The 15852-nt window shown below is 38.9% G+C and overlaps 1 protein-coding gene across 4 annotated transcripts in view; it reads left to right on the forward strand.

Moving 5' to 3' along the window:
- Positions 1-15852, forward strand: part of NKAIN3 (sodium/potassium transporting ATPase interacting 3) — a 750799-nt gene that overhangs the window by 670637 nt on the left and 64310 nt on the right. The window lies entirely within an intron of this gene.

Below are 15852 nucleotides of genomic sequence, written 5' to 3' on the forward strand. Positions count from 1 at the left end.
CGCCTCGGCCTCCCAAAGTGCTGGGATTACAGGCGTCAGCCACCATGCCCAGCCTACTTTCAAAATTTTAATTTACTTTCAAAATTTTAATTTACTTTCAAAAAATAAATTATTTTAGATAAAGAAATCACACCTAACCAAACCAGAGATTGCATTGCAGTCATTGTTTGAATTTGTAACAAAATGAAGCAAAGTAGCTAGCCATTGTAACTTCCTTCCAGAACACAACCTCAAAGGGGTCTGATGAACGCTTCCCATCAAACAGATGAGTGGTGCATGATATATGAGTTGGAATCCAGAATCTGATGGGGTCTTGTCTCAATTTATTTGACCAAACCTCAGACCCTGAGATTAAAAGTATCAGGCAGTGAAAGCATGCAGACAAATTGCATCATGTATTTAATGCTTACACAGAGTTTTTTTTTTTTTTTAATGCTAGATAAGTCAAAAAATTTCTGTCACTTGACAAGTGCAGTTCTAATGACAACACTTTTCATTTTGAGGTTAACTTCAAATCTCTATTTTTAGGAGTTTTATTAGTAGTTCTACAACCTGATGGAGTTAATATACAGAAGGTTAGCAGCATGCTTCCAACCCAGAGCTAAGACAGGCTGCACAGCCAAAAAACAGTTGGTTGAGCATGAACAATATTAACTGGAATTTCAACCTGAAAGTTATTGGAATTTGAGCTGAATAAGTCAAAAAATTAATAAATTGATAAGTCCTAGCTGAATCTCTTACAAAGTAGATACCTACTTTTGAGTAGTTATCAAACAACAACAACATCCAAAACAAACAGTCCTCTTTCTTTTCCTCCTCACTAAACTGGTCAAAGACTCTCAAAAGACACCAGTGCTCAGTTGTACCTAACAGTGGGAGAAAAGGCAGATTAATCAATAGTCTTATTATGTAGTGCAATAAATATACAACAGTCTTTTCCTTGAGACTTGTGGTTTAAGCAAAGCTGGGAAATGCAAAATGGCATGTAAAATAAAAGACTCATCTAAATGGATACTTCTGTTAACTTTCTATTAGCCTTCTTTTCAGTGTATATAAATTGTATTGTTCACTGCCAGATATCGTCGTTCCATTGACTTTGATGTCTTTAATTAACTTAAGTTTCTCTATAGAAATCTCTGAATCAGCTATTTCAGTGCCCTTCAAACTGGGATTGAAGCAGCTGCTAGGAGACTATTCTATTAGTGGTTTAATTCTAGCATTTGTTATTAGGGCCATACATTACATTACCAAGAGACATCTGGATATAGTACTTGTATTGTCATCAATTCAAATTGACTCAGAGTCAAAACGAAACTTGGGTGCTCAAAGCAAAGTATATATGCCAAAGACTAACTTAACATGATAATCTGCTGGAAGAGAGATGATAATGGAAAGCAGTCACAAATATTTGATAGTTCTCAAATGAGGGTAATTTTATATTTTTTATTGAATGAGGTAGGAAACAAAAGTGCAGATGTAATTAAGTTGTCCCAGGGTCTTCAGAAGGCAGATGTGAGCAAAAAGTAATGTCTGAAGCCAATTGCAATGATCTCATACACTAGTACTATTTGTGCCAACACTTAGCTTTTAGGTGCAAAAATGAACTGCCCCTTGGATATGACATTACCAACCCTCAGTGAGGAAGACATGTCCTTTGAATTATTTTTCCAAAACTTACACATAAAATAAGTAAACAATACTGGTATCTTTCCAATTTGTCTAAGTACACTTCTGGAAATCTTATTCTAAAAGAGATCTGCAAATATAATATAATGTCAGTTTTTTGGCAGGCAATACATCATTCATAACTTTGATTCTATTCTAACTAATGAAAATTTCTGCATTATTCAAAATGCAAAGTTAAGCCTTGTTCTTGGGCTGAAAACTGCCAGCCAGCCTTAAAAATTAATAACAGCTACCACTTCTCTCCTCTGCACTGTTAAAGTGGATATATGGGACTAACATTTCAGACAGATATTTCCGAAGGGTAATAAATACTTGAGGAAACACTTATTTCTAGCCACCCGTCTTCTTAGTTACCTCTCAGCCTCTTTTATTAACTATTTCTTATAAAGATTATGATTGCAGGTCAAAGACAATGAAATAAAAAGCTCACAAAAGGCAGAGTGCTAGGTGGGGTCAGAGCTTCTCGTCATTCATTCTAATGAAAAAGCTTAGTTATATCTCTTCCTTCCATTTTTCATTGCTTTTAAATATATATACATAAATATATATCAATCTCCATGAACACTTTCATGAGACTAGAATCTCTGGAATCATAATGATAGAAATCTGTCAACACCTTGTTTGGGAATCATTTGCTGAAAATGAACTTGAGGATTTGTTACTACTTGTTAGACTTTCCAGAAATAATGTTTTTAATTCAGAGAAGTGTGGAGATAAGGTGAAAAATAGCATTTTACTTGTATCAATACTGCCAGGCTTTTTCAGAGGGTCTGTTGCTAGCACTACTTCTTCTGATATTAGGCTGCAAATTGCAACTGGCACATTTATTTGGGCTCACAAAGGCTAGTCTGGGTTGTATATGTTGAATGATGAGAGACAAAAGTATATTGAAAACCCTAACAGTTTTTGAAAGGAAATGAATCCCTCAGATGTGGGTTCAATATTTTACATTAAAAAGCTCTAAATAGTTCTTTATATAAACATTTGACCCTTGCTATTATACTTTTGAGGAACTTTTTATTGGAAGGAAGCGTAACTATCGGAAAAACATTTCATCGCTCTACTGTCCTGAAGCTTCCTGCTGGCTAATGTTCATGTATTTACCTGTCTGCCCATGAACTCCTTCTAAGAAAATGAGGTGATATTTCCATAGCATTGGTGTGAGCTGAAAACTTTTTAAAATCCTATCTCCACCTAAGAATTTATGAAAGAAGCGAATGTGGTAGGAAAAAAAAAGACTAGTTTGAATGTTAATTTATGAATTTCCTTTTCCAACTTATAATGTATGGAAGCCTCAGAGAAGTAAGGTGACCACAAGGCCAGACACCAGGGGAGGGAATAAGCAGAGGCCTGGAAGATCTTCAGAGTAGAAAACCAGTCCATTGTTTTGCACCCCTAGCAATGTATGAACATTTGAAGGTGAGAGCAGAGGACAGTGCTGTGAGTCAAACATGGAAAAATGTGCAAAATTGGTAAGGGTGATCCTGAAGTCACAGTGAACATTTCAAAGGAGCCACCACATTTGCCTAATAAGCCATTAAGAATCTACTGATTCTCACAGTGCATATATTTTTTTTTTTTTGGTAACTATCTAGTTGGTTGCATGTAACTGTCCTAAAGGCTGATTCTCTCTCCTTCAGTCTCACTAGAGCTCAGATTTAGATCCTGAAACATTTTCCTAATTTGCTGAGATGGCTCTGCCAAATAGCTACACAATGACTAGCTAATCCTCCCACTAGCAAGATCTATGAAGGTAGAATCTTTGTTTTGCTCCCCACTGTAACCCTATAGTTCAGAAAAATGCCTTGTATGTAGAATTCAATAAAGAAATATTTGTTGGCTGGGTGTGGTGGCTCAACCCTATAATCTCAGCACTTTGCAAGGCTGAAGCAGGCAAATCACTTGAGCTCAGCAATTCAAGGGCAGCCTGGGCAACACGGTGAGACCTCATCTCTACCAAAAATACAAAAACATAGCCGGGTGTGGTGGTGTGTGCCTGTGGTCCCAGCTACTCGGGAGGCTCAGGTGGGAGTATCACTTGAGCTTGGGATCGGAAGTGGGAGTTGGTGGGATGGAGGTTCCAGGTTTCAGTGAGCTGAGATCCTGCCACTGCACTCCAGCCTGGCTGACAGAGGGAGACGCTGTCTCAAAAAAAAAATAAGAAAAAGAAATATTTGTTGAGTTTATAGTGTTAAATAAATTTTCTGGGCCCAACAACTCAGTTTTACAAAGTCATTTTTAAAACTCCAAGGTTCTCAAGTTTGATACTGCTTTATATTTAGAATTTAGTGAGATGTCCGATGCACTTGCAAATGTTTATGTGAGGCAAGTGGAGGTCCTACATTTTTAATGCAATTAGATATATTTTTAGTAATTTTGAAAATCAAGGTATAGGGAGATAAAGTAAACATCCACTGTACCACGTCAGAACAAGAGCTTAATTTTGTAAACTCCTGGACAAGACACTGCTGAGAAAACAGGGACTTACTTGAAAGGGATGCACTCACAGAGTAAGGCAGGCATTTAGGAGTCGACTCATCTGCAACATGTGGTGAAGGGGACAGAGTTACTGTCAAAGAGTGGGGACCAGCAGGGTTGTAACCTCGGCCACCCCACACAGAGGAAGTTCAGGCAGCACAGAACAGGATCCCAGCTACAGTGCTCTGGTTGAGTGACAAGATTCCATCCCTTAAATAGGTTACTGAGACAGACTCTCTCTCAAGAATATCATAAGCATTCAAATGCCCAAACCAGCAAACCAACTGGAGATTCCCTACAGGGGAAAGATAGAGAAGCCCCTTTACCAGAACCAGATCCAAGGTTACCACTAAACTCACAGTGAAGTAGAGCCTAAAAGATTGCCTATCTCCTTAAGCCAGGATTCCTGATTATAATTCAGCCTGACTAAGAATCATCTACAGCGATATATCCTACTCTCCTCCCTCCCCAACCTCCAGCCACATCTGTTTTCCTGAATCCACCAAGAGCTTTCATACCCAGGCCTTTGAGAGAGGCCTCCTCCCTCTGTTGACCCACTAACTTATATACACCCTTCAGATTTCAGCTTAGCTGTCTCTTCTGAAATTTAACCATTTTTCTCCCACCCTTTCCGGGTTAGTTGAAGATACGGATGATATATTGTGAGATGCTTTCACTGCACACTGTGCTTTTTCCTTGGCAACATTTAACACAACTGTAATTTTTTAAAGTCATATTATTCACCAAGGCTGACCCCATTTCCTAACATAAAGGGAACCCTACACTATTTTCAATGAATAAATATTAAATGAATGAGTCAATGTATGAACAAATGGACTCAGTAAGATGATTAGGGTTTCCAATGGCAGAGATCGGGGAGAAGGTTCTTCCTTTTCTCCTCTCTATCTCCATTTATATAAATGACAGCTCTTCACATCAGCTGAAAAGCTTGGGCATATTCCTTGTATTCCCTGACTCTTCCCTGATTGTCCACACCCAGTTAATCATCAAATGAAACATCTTCACCTCCTGTCTTAGTTCTTCTGGGCTGCTATATCAGAATACCATAGACTGGGTAGCTTATAATAACAGGAAGTTATTTCACAGAGTTCTGTTGTGAAAAGTTTAAGATCAAGGTACCAGCAGACTTGGTGTCTGGTGAGGGCCCACTTCTCTCTTCATAAATGACTGTCTTCTTCCTGTGTTCCCACATGGGCAAGCAAGCAAGGCAGCTCTCTGAGGTCTCTTTTATAAGGGCACTAACCCATCCATGAGTGACCTAATCACTTCCCAAAGACTTCACCTACTAACACCATCACGCTGGGGATTAGGTTTCAACATATGAATTGGTGGGGGTGGGAGGGTAATAAACATTCAGACCATAGCATCTCCTTTCAAATAACTAAAAACTCCTACATGTTCTTTAACATTCTTCTCACAAACACCCTCTTCTCCATGCCGCAGTAGACCCTGAGTGTGTCTCTGAATCTGCACTCAACTTACTTTTTAATTAATTGCATCCCCCACTCATAAAAGGTGGAGATCATATCTTACCTACCGTAGAATCTCAGAACCTGCTTCAGTGTATGGAACATCATAGGAAATCAGTGCATATTTGTTATACAAAATACATAGTGGAGAAAATGCTTGTCTTTACGTTATCTCTCATATCTCTTTCCTCACTCCCTAAGAAAATTTAAACTTCCCATTCCCTGTACCACAGGAAAAAAAATGATTAATTCATAATAAGGTATTTGTGCACTTATATCTTTTATCAATTTTCCAGAGCAAAAGCATGGCCCTATATTATGCACTTACATTATCTGGAAATTTTCTGGAGAGAAGGTGTAGCTTGTTTTGCCAAAAACTTGAGACCAGCAAGCAGACAACTCCTGCACCCCAGAGGGGGTTCTAATTTTCTGTGTTTCTACTTGAAACCAGATGTTAGAAATGATTTCAGTGATGGTGGTCCTAACTGCCAATATCTAGCTCTGTGACCATTGCTGAATCACATCACCTCTTTGGGGATCCGCAAGTCACTGACAGCTCTGACACTGCAGTTCTATAGATGATGCTTTTGGGTGGGGGTGATTTCAACGTGTGATCAGGCACGTCACATTTCCTTCTTCACTGATTTACAAATGGTCAACATCAGGAGTGGTTTCAAAACACCCTGACCTCTATGCTCCAGAGTTACAGTAACAAAGTCTGATGTATCAGCCTCAGCACTAAAACAGGCCCTCTACACGAATGCCTGCCCGCTCAGAAGGAGGAATCACATCTCCCTACTCCCTGCTTTAGACAGGTCAGAGCTCTCCAGTTCTCACCATTACCAACAGTGCCAGGCTGTGCAGCACTTCTCAAGCACTTTACTTGAGAAGGAAGAATGAAGAATCTGCCATTCAGGTGGTGCCGAGTGGAAAATGTGGGATTTGGGATGCAGATGTGATAATGAGGGAGCAGAGTACCAAATTTAAAAATCACACCCTCGTGACACCCTGGATGCACAGCAAAGAAAAAAATGGACTGTAAGGATTTCATGAGGATCTTGTGCAATAGTTTTATCCTGGTTATTAGTGGTAAAATTTAAGAGCCCAGCAGAAGAGCAGTTGACAGCATCTTGCCAGGGCCTCTGTGTTTCCATTTTAAATCTAAATTCAGTATTCTAATCCCAACAACCCCCCTTCTCAACGGTCTCACAAAGCTGGCTCTGCCAGCCCCCCTGTGGGTTTACTGAACCTCCACTTCTGCACGTCTGTCCCTAAGCTGCTTAGTGGTGCAGAGAGGAGCACATAGCCTGATGCAACCTCACAACGTCACATGTGAGCCGCCCAACCCGCTCCAGGGGCCTCCCACTCATTCTTCATCACTGCTTTCTCCAAGGCCCCTAAAAGTGAATTATTTGAGCTGTCAGTGCCGCAGATCACCCTAGCCTCATTTTAGAGAACTTAGAGTTTCTATCCTCATTTTGGGGATGAATAATTGAGGCCCAAAGAGGCAATGTGACCGCCGGCGGCTTTTTCCTCCTCTGCCCTGCACCCTTAGCATTAAGACTCCATCACTGAGACTCTGTCACACAAAAAAATAAAAGCAGTGGGAATGATTTCCTCAAGTTCCCAGGCTCTCTATCTGTCAGATCTGTCTGTATCCATCTGTGATCATCATCTTCCTGACAGAAAAAGCAGACTTCATTTTGTCCCGTGGCTTTTGTGGCTGCTATGTCCATCCCACCCACCTATTTAAGCACCTTGCTCTCTTAATTATTTTTTCTCTCTGTCCCCTCCCCCAACTTTACTCCCTCTGCCCAGCTTCTTCCTCCACTAGGTCTTTTCCCTTCAGCTTATAAACAAAGTCACATCAACCAGAAAAAGAAAATAGAAATCACCCTTGACTCCAACTGGCATGAATTTAACTTTCCTGTCTGTCATACTCCTTTCCTCCACATCCCAACTTCTCTCATACTCCTTCCCTCCACATCCCAGCTTCTCTGCAAAGTGGCCGAGACTGACAGCACTCCCTTCCTCACCCCCCTCCCACTCACTCTCATGCCTCCTGAGTTATCACTGAAGATGCTGTCTCAGAGGCCAGCAGGGACTTCCTAATTGTCAAGTTCTCTTGGATCTTATCAAGATTGATTGACAGCTTTGGCTGCTGTTGACTTCTCCTTCCTTGAACACTTTCTCCCCTGGATTTCCAGAAAATCGCATCTCTTGAACAGCACATATTTTGCCAATTAAAAATTATTTTTAATATCTAGTGTTCAATAGTAGAGTGACTATAATTTACAGTATCTATTGCACTTTGGGAAATAGCTAGATGAGAATATTTTGAATGTTTCTACCGTAAAGAAAAGACAAATATTTAAGTGATGTATATCCCAAGTACACTGATTTGATCTTTGCAAATTATAGGCATGTATTAAATTATCACATGTGCCCCCAAAACTATGTACATCTATTATGCCTCAATTTTTAAAGGTACTTTAAATATTCTTACGCAGATTAAGCAGATTTCTGATGCAGACACAGGTAACCAATTTTGAACAACTTGTTCAAGCTGCTTTTGGAGTGATGAGCTGTCATTATGTCCTTAAAATATTAACTAATCATTCCTACTATAGAGTTTATATTAACATTCACACTGTTATACTAAAGCATTTTCAGTAAGGTCAGCCAATAAAACAGAAATGTTTTTAAAGTAAGACCAGACAATAAAAGAGATGTTTATCCTTTTAAATAACAAAATGGCATATAATATTTTTAAGAGCTATAGTCTTGGACCAATTATTTAAGATTTAATGGAGATCTGATTTTACACTACCTTAAAAAGAAGTATCATACAAGTAACCAGCAATAAAGGGCATATATGGAACACTCATCTTCATGTTCTCTAGACTATGTACTTTACTAAGAAAAAAATAATAATTTAGTGTTCTTTCTGGGAACAATATTTGAAACTGCCACCTAAATGAGATATTAGGGAGTATTCATATGACTTGAATGCAAGTGTGAAAAAAAATAGGGAACATTTGGTAAAAGCATTTATCTCTCCTTCTAAATTGTATAAGACACAAAGTAAGTTAATTATAAATTATTTCTAAGTTATAACAAACTAGTGTTTCCATTTTATCCACATTTTTCCTCATAGAAGGAAACAGATCTTTCTCTTTCTCTCTCTCTCCCTCTCTCTCTTTCTCGCTGATTTTAAGTACAGAAAATCTATATTAAAGTTAGTGGTATTTTCTGAAGACATCTTTCTTTGTCACAGTTCAATCAACTACAAAACTCCTACTGTTTCCCAACCCTTATTCATTTAATACCACCTTCAGCGATATCATGACAGCTATGTACAAGCTTGTGTCAGAGACTGGCTGGCTCTTCACTAAGCCCGTTTGTTTGTTCTCCTCCCAAGCACACAATTGTACCATCTATCCCAGCCTCCAGGCAGTTAGATGCCCCATGAGATTGTATTCTAGACGAGGGTTCCAGTCCTGGCCCCCAAATTACTTCCACGTGTGATTCTTCATGTTCTTATCCTTTCTTCCTGCTGGACATAGACCAGCACTGAAGCTTTGGAAGCCGCACGTTTCAAATGCTGGAGCCACAGTATCAAACGGGCCTGGGTCATTGAGTGTTGCTCAGAGAAAGGTTGACCATATAATTTGAGAAGCAGGTGATAAGTGCCTTTGAGGCATAAGGCACTGAGGAGCACCTGAGAGAGTCTGTCAGAGAAAGGTTCCCTCGCAGACAGGGAGACCCCGAGTAGAAACAGGCAGGAGTTCTCCTGTCATTCAAGGGAGAGTTAGGAGTCCAGCGTATCAAGCATTCAGCAAACAGAAGTGCCTCCAGCATGCCTGGGAAGCTCTCTCTGAGAAGAGGACATGTAGGCTAACACCTGAGGATGAAAAGGAGCTAAGAGGCAAAGGCCAGGAGACCATTCCTGGCAGAAGGAGCAGTAAGCATGCAGGGAATCACTTACTGGAAAGCCTTCCAGCCAAAACAAAGGGCTTGACTTCAGAAGCAGCTTCATACCAAATGGTCGAAGAGATGATCTGGGCTTCCCTGACCTGCTGACTCTCAAAAAAGTAGTGAATTAAAGGGCAGATTGTCCCAGAGACTGCATTGTAAATCCCGTATTGAGCAGGAGGGCTCTGTGAAAAGGATAAAAAGTATACTGTGTTTTCGTATGCTGTGAGAAAAAAATCACAGGTTGGGCTTAAGTTTTATTTTCTTTTCCTTTGCTCTATATTTGCCTCCTTTTCTATTTACTCACCCACGTGTTTATTTGGAAAAGTAAATTAAATCTGTTTCTTTTTTACTTAAGGAAAACAAACACTTAGTTACTAGTCCTAAAGTCAAAGCCAAGGTGTCATACTGACTGTGTTTTCCTCCTAACTGAGACAAGAAAGTTTCAGGGAAACAGGTGAAGACCAAAGTTTCTCTATGACTTTGTACATTTTCATGAGGGAGGCTTTTCTGCCCAGAAAATTCTATTAATATCTACTCAGGGTTTTAAACCATTATGCAATTTTTTAAAGTAACAAATTTTTTAAAAACTGTGGTTTTTTGTTTTTTTAAGCTCTAAATCAAGCTTGTCCAACCCGCAGCCCATGGGCCACATGCAGCCCAGGGTGACTTTAAATGTGGCCCAACACAAATTTGTAAACTTTCTTAAAACTTTATGAGATTGTTTTGAGATTTTTCTTTTAGCTCATCAACTATCATTAGTGTTAGCTTATTTTATGTGCGGCCCAAGACAATTCTTCCAATGTGTCCCAGGGAAGCCAAAAAATTAGACACCACTGCTCTAGATGCTACATAGAACTTTAAGTATTCTGCTTATAAATCTAGCAAGTGTTAAGAGTCACTTTAGGGGAGAGCTTCTTTTCATTGTGCTAAAATACGTGACATAATATTAACCATTTTAATATTTTTAAGTGTACAACTCAGTGGCATTAGGTACATTCAGAGTGTTGTGCGACCATCACTACTATCATTTCCAGAACTTTTTCATCATCCTAAACAGTATCTCTGTACCCATTCAACAACAACTTTTCAACTTTTCATCCTCCCCTCCCTCCAGCCTCTAGTAACCTCCATTCTACCTTTTTTTTTTGGAGACAAAGTCTCATTCTTGTCCCCCAGGCTGGAGTGTGATGGTGCGATCTTAGCTCACTGCAACCTCCGCCTCTCCGGTTCAAACAATTCTCCTGCCTCAGCCTCCTGAGTAGCTGGGATTACAGGCGCCTGACACCATGCCCGGCTAATTTTTGTATTTTTAGTAGAGATGGGGTTTCACCATGTTGGCCAGGCTGGTCTCGAACTCCTGACCACAGGTGATCCACCCGCCTCGGCCTCCCAAAGTGCTGGGATTACAGGCGTGAGTCACAGCGACCTGCCCTCTATTCTACTTTTTATCTCTGTGCATTTGTCTATTCTAATTACCTCATGCAAATAGAATTACACAATATTTGTTCTTTTGTGTATGGTTTATTTAATGTCCCATAAGGTTTTCAAGTTTCATCCATATTGTAGCATGTATCAGAATTTCATCCTTTTTTTTTTTTTGAGACGGAGTCTCACTCTGTCACCCAGGCTAGAGTGCAGTGGCGCGATCTCGGCTCACTGCATGCTCTGCCTCCCGGGTTCATGCCATTCTCCTGCCTCAGCCTCCCGAGTAGCTGGGACTGCAGGTGCCCGCCACCATGCCTGGCTAATTTTGTTTTTGTATTTTTAGTAGAGATGGGGTTTCACCATGTTAGCCAGGATGATCTCAATCTCCTTACCTCATGATCCTCCCACCTTGGCCTCCCAAAGTGCTGGGATTACAGGCGTAAGCCACCACACTGAAACTTCAGTTACTATTCAATCTGTTTAAATTCAATAGTCTACATTCCTTTAAATAATCTGTTCCATTTGTAACTTAAATTCCCTTAAACATTTAACATGAATTCATTGTAATTATCATTTTTGGAAGTCCTTCATATATTTGTCCCAATAAACAAAACATTCGCTGGTTTTTAAGCTAATCCAGCAAATCTAATAAATCTAATAAAATAAGCTCATTCATAAATTAAATCTCAAGTTTTTATAACATTACACAAATTTAATAAAATATTGTCATGTCTTTCAACCTAAAATCACAAGTATAAAATCAATCACTCAATTAAAATTTTGAATTGGTTTCAGTGGGTTAATCTAACAAATCTAATATAATCCATCTGATTATTTTAAGAACTAAAAAGATTTTATATACCAAGCAGACACAGATTATCCCAATGATTATAAAATTCTAACCTGTACTTTCTGAAATAGTATTAACACTATATGGGATTAGCTTACTTTGTTTTCTCTATAGTTAATTTCATGTGTTAGAAATACACTTCTCCAATAAATAAGCATCTCAGACAACTTAAGATTTCTATATGTTCAGGAATTTTCGGCAGGGAAGCGGTACCCAAATTCTAAGAAGATTCTATAGCTTACCACTAATGAATTTAAAGAGCTTTTCTTTAATAGTTGTTGGAACAAAAGAAAATCTCATTCCATAAAATAATCTAGCAGGCCACAGCTACGGGACTCAAAGGACATTAGATTTGAATACAGAAGACTTTACTCCTACTAAGAGTCTCATTTTGGTTGGTTTAATAATTGTTAGCCCTTTAAAACATTTTAACATCTTTTCATATGGCTTGACAGACACTTTGTTGATATTCCATTTGCTTCTTTTAATCATATTACCTGATGGAATCCTGTATTCTTTCCATATTTTAAGTAGGCTGCTAACTCCTGTACGCATTGAAATGTTTGATTGGCTGTATTTCTCTCATATCTTTTCTTGTTCTGAGGTCACTAAACTGTTCATATTCAAAAGCATTTATAGTCCAGAGGCAAAATATTATTGTTTAATTTTAGACTTTTAAGTCCCTTAAATACTTAAACTGCAAACATGAATTCACTGTAATGATTAATATCATTTTTTAGTCCTTAAAATATTGTCCTAATAAACAAAACAAGCATAAATAAACAAACTTAAATAGCTAATTTTTCACTTATTAATTGATTCACTCATTCAAGAAGCAATTATTGGGAGACTTCTGTGAGTTAGGCCATGCCACAAGGATACAGAGATTAATAAAACTCGATCTGCCAGAAGATCTTACATTCTAATAAGGAAGTGAGGTAGGCAAATAATTACAGAAGAGTGAAATGCAGATACTGGTTTGTGTAAAGTGAGTCAGATGTGCAGAAAACGTAAGCAGAGGCTAACTGTGTCTCAAGGCATCAAATGTGGCTGCTCAGAACATATAGTATGGTCTCATGTGCAAAATACACATCATCAGGAAGAGAACAAAGGAAAGACATTTTAGATACCAGGGAAAATAAGCTATAATAGCACAGAAACACCATAAAATATTTAGGAATGTTTGTGGAAAATCTGGATCAATCAGGAAGTCATAAGTTACTGGGTACATTCAGTTCACGAAATGAATGGTGAATCAGTCCTTGAGGGACCTTGGATTCCATTTTACACTAGTGATTTTCAACCTATTTCATACTTGGCACTCATGGAGAATGCCTCTTTTTTAAATTTGTTTTTTTAGAGACAGGGTCTCTCTCTGTCACCAATGCTGGAGTGCTGTGGCACAATCATAGCTCATGCAGCCTCGAACTCCTGAGCTCAAGTGATTCTCCCACCTCAGCTTCCCAAAGCACTGGGATTACAAGCACCCGGCTGGAGAATTCCAACATTTATAGGCATCCAGTGGTAGATAAACTAGCCATCTCCGAGGAAGAAATGTCTGCCCTAGAAGGCTAACTACCCCAAGCCTCACTCAATGAACACACACACACACACACACACACACACACACACCAGGGAATGAGAGAATTGATACCTTGTCACATCTGTACCCACTCAGGTCACACCACTTCAGATGCTCTGCTGGATGATGTGGAGCAGTGAATGGATTTAATCTTGGGAATATGATCAAATTCAGTTTTCTTTGAACAGCAATTCATAGAAAGGGAAAAGGATTTATAAAAGAGATCTCAGTGAGCAAATGGCATTTTCATGGAGATTGTCCTAGGAAAGAGAGAAACAAAAGTAATAATAGGAGCTATAAAAAAAGAAAGTATTTCAAAACGGAAATGTCCAAAATTGTGAAAGCGGACAGTAAAAAGGAATTATGAAGAGACTTCAATGCCAGCAAGCATTTGTTACTTGATTTAAAGAGCAAAGTAAAACATTGGCTACACTTAAATAAGAATGATTAAAAAATATATTGCGGGAAAAAACTGGATAACTAAGAAAAAATGTATTACATAGGAAAAGAATTTGTCTAAAACTATTTAGGCAAACTCTCAGGATTGTTTTAAGCCTCTTACCTTTTGGACCATGATTTTTTCTCTCAGCCATTCTATTCTGCTTCATTGACTCCAAAGAGTTTAGAAATTCATTATCCTATTATTTAAATATCATACACTATTAGAAAATTTTAAAATGGGAAAAAATTGTCAGCACTGAGTATGAGAAACATCTAATTCCAAAGATCTGGACTCACAGTGGGAGCAAAAGCCAGAAGTACAGTCAAATAAAAATGTTGAATAGCTCCAAAAATAGAAAAGGTAGGTGTTTTCAAGAATTTTTTCCAATCTTATTTTCTCCTGAATAAAAGGTTCCTCCAAATGAGCCCAACAATACTGACACAAAGGCCTCAGCCACCAGTGAAACTGAACAGACAGTAATTGAAAAATTACAAAAACTTTGAGAGGGACTTCAGTAAGGCCAAGGCAGTCACTCCATCTAATTACTGAGCTCTTGACAAAGATTAAGGAATGATTGAGGGCATATCTACTATAGAGAAAGAGAGCACAATTTGTGTGTCTTTAAAAAGAACTGAGTGACTCTTAAAATAAGAGAAAATGTACTATTAAAGATACTGATAAAGTCTTGTGTGGTGACACGCACCTGTAATCCCAGCAGTTTGGGAAGCCAAGGTGGAAAGATCTCTTGAGGCCAGAAGCTTGAGACCAGTCTGGGCGACATGGTGAGACCTTCTCTCTAAAAAAAAGGAAAGAAAGAAAAGTAGCAGGGTGTGCTGGTGCTTGCTGCTTGGAAGGCTGAGGTGGGAGGATCTCTTGGGCCTAGGAGATTAAGGCTGCAGTGAGCTGTGATGATGCCACTGCAGTCCAGCCTGGACAACAAAGCAGGACCCTGTCTCTTAAAAAAAAAAAATGCAGACTAAAGTAAGAAAAATAACTTATTTTTTCCAAATGTGAGAAAATCAACACAAAAAAGTTTTTATCTGTTAGGGGAGGGCTGGAATGGTGAGAGCTGGTGTGTTACAGACATCTTTATTAAGACAGTACAACTCTTGCAACAAAAAGCAATGACAGAAGCTGCAGCAGTAGTAAATGCACCCCTGTAAGGACTCTACAGCCTGGTTCCCTGACTCAAGAATCAAAAACTAAATACTAAAGCAAGCACAGTCCAGGAGATCCTCACAGAATAACCAGAATAAGCGTATCAGTGAATCTAAAGGAATAACACTGAAAACAATTGGAAAAAGCCACTTTGAGCACCTTACTCAAAGGAGATATTATTTTCAAAGACTCTCTGGAGTGACTTGAAATGACACGACAGGAGAGAGATCTTATCTCATGGTTTGTGCTACTGGGGAAAAAACGGGGTAGAAAATGAAAGCAATGCCAGTCAAAAGCTAAAGGAAAGGTGAGCAGGATTGTCCTGAGCACCAGGCATTGACCTGCCCATGGACTATTCAGCAGCCCTGGAGAGGGGGAAGGAGAGCACTTCCACATGACACTCAAATTCACAAATTCTGCCTCCACGGAGTTTTCTTTTCTTTCCTAAGAGACCTTTATGCAGACAAGCTTCCTTTCCAGAATAAAAACAAGTCATAGAAGATAAAACCATTATTCCTCAAAATGTGGCACACTAATGAATTTTCCCTTCCAAACTAGCTGTTCATTTTAAATATGAAGAAATCCAACCAAACACAAGTACAAGTTCGTGAAAGTTCCACAGGGACACAACACTGTTCGGGGGACAGCAAGGACAGAATGTTGGAATTCTTACAGATCATTATGTAATCCTACATTAGACAGAGCCTTTGAAATTTTGGAAATAACAGTTAATGAGAGTGTATCCTCAAAATAAGATAAATGT

The sequence above is a fragment of the Homo sapiens genome, chromosome 8 (assembly GCF_000001405.40).
Source record: "Homo sapiens chromosome 8, GRCh38.p14 Primary Assembly".
In the NCBI taxonomy this organism is placed as follows: Eukaryota; Metazoa; Chordata; class Mammalia; order Primates; family Hominidae; genus Homo; species Homo sapiens.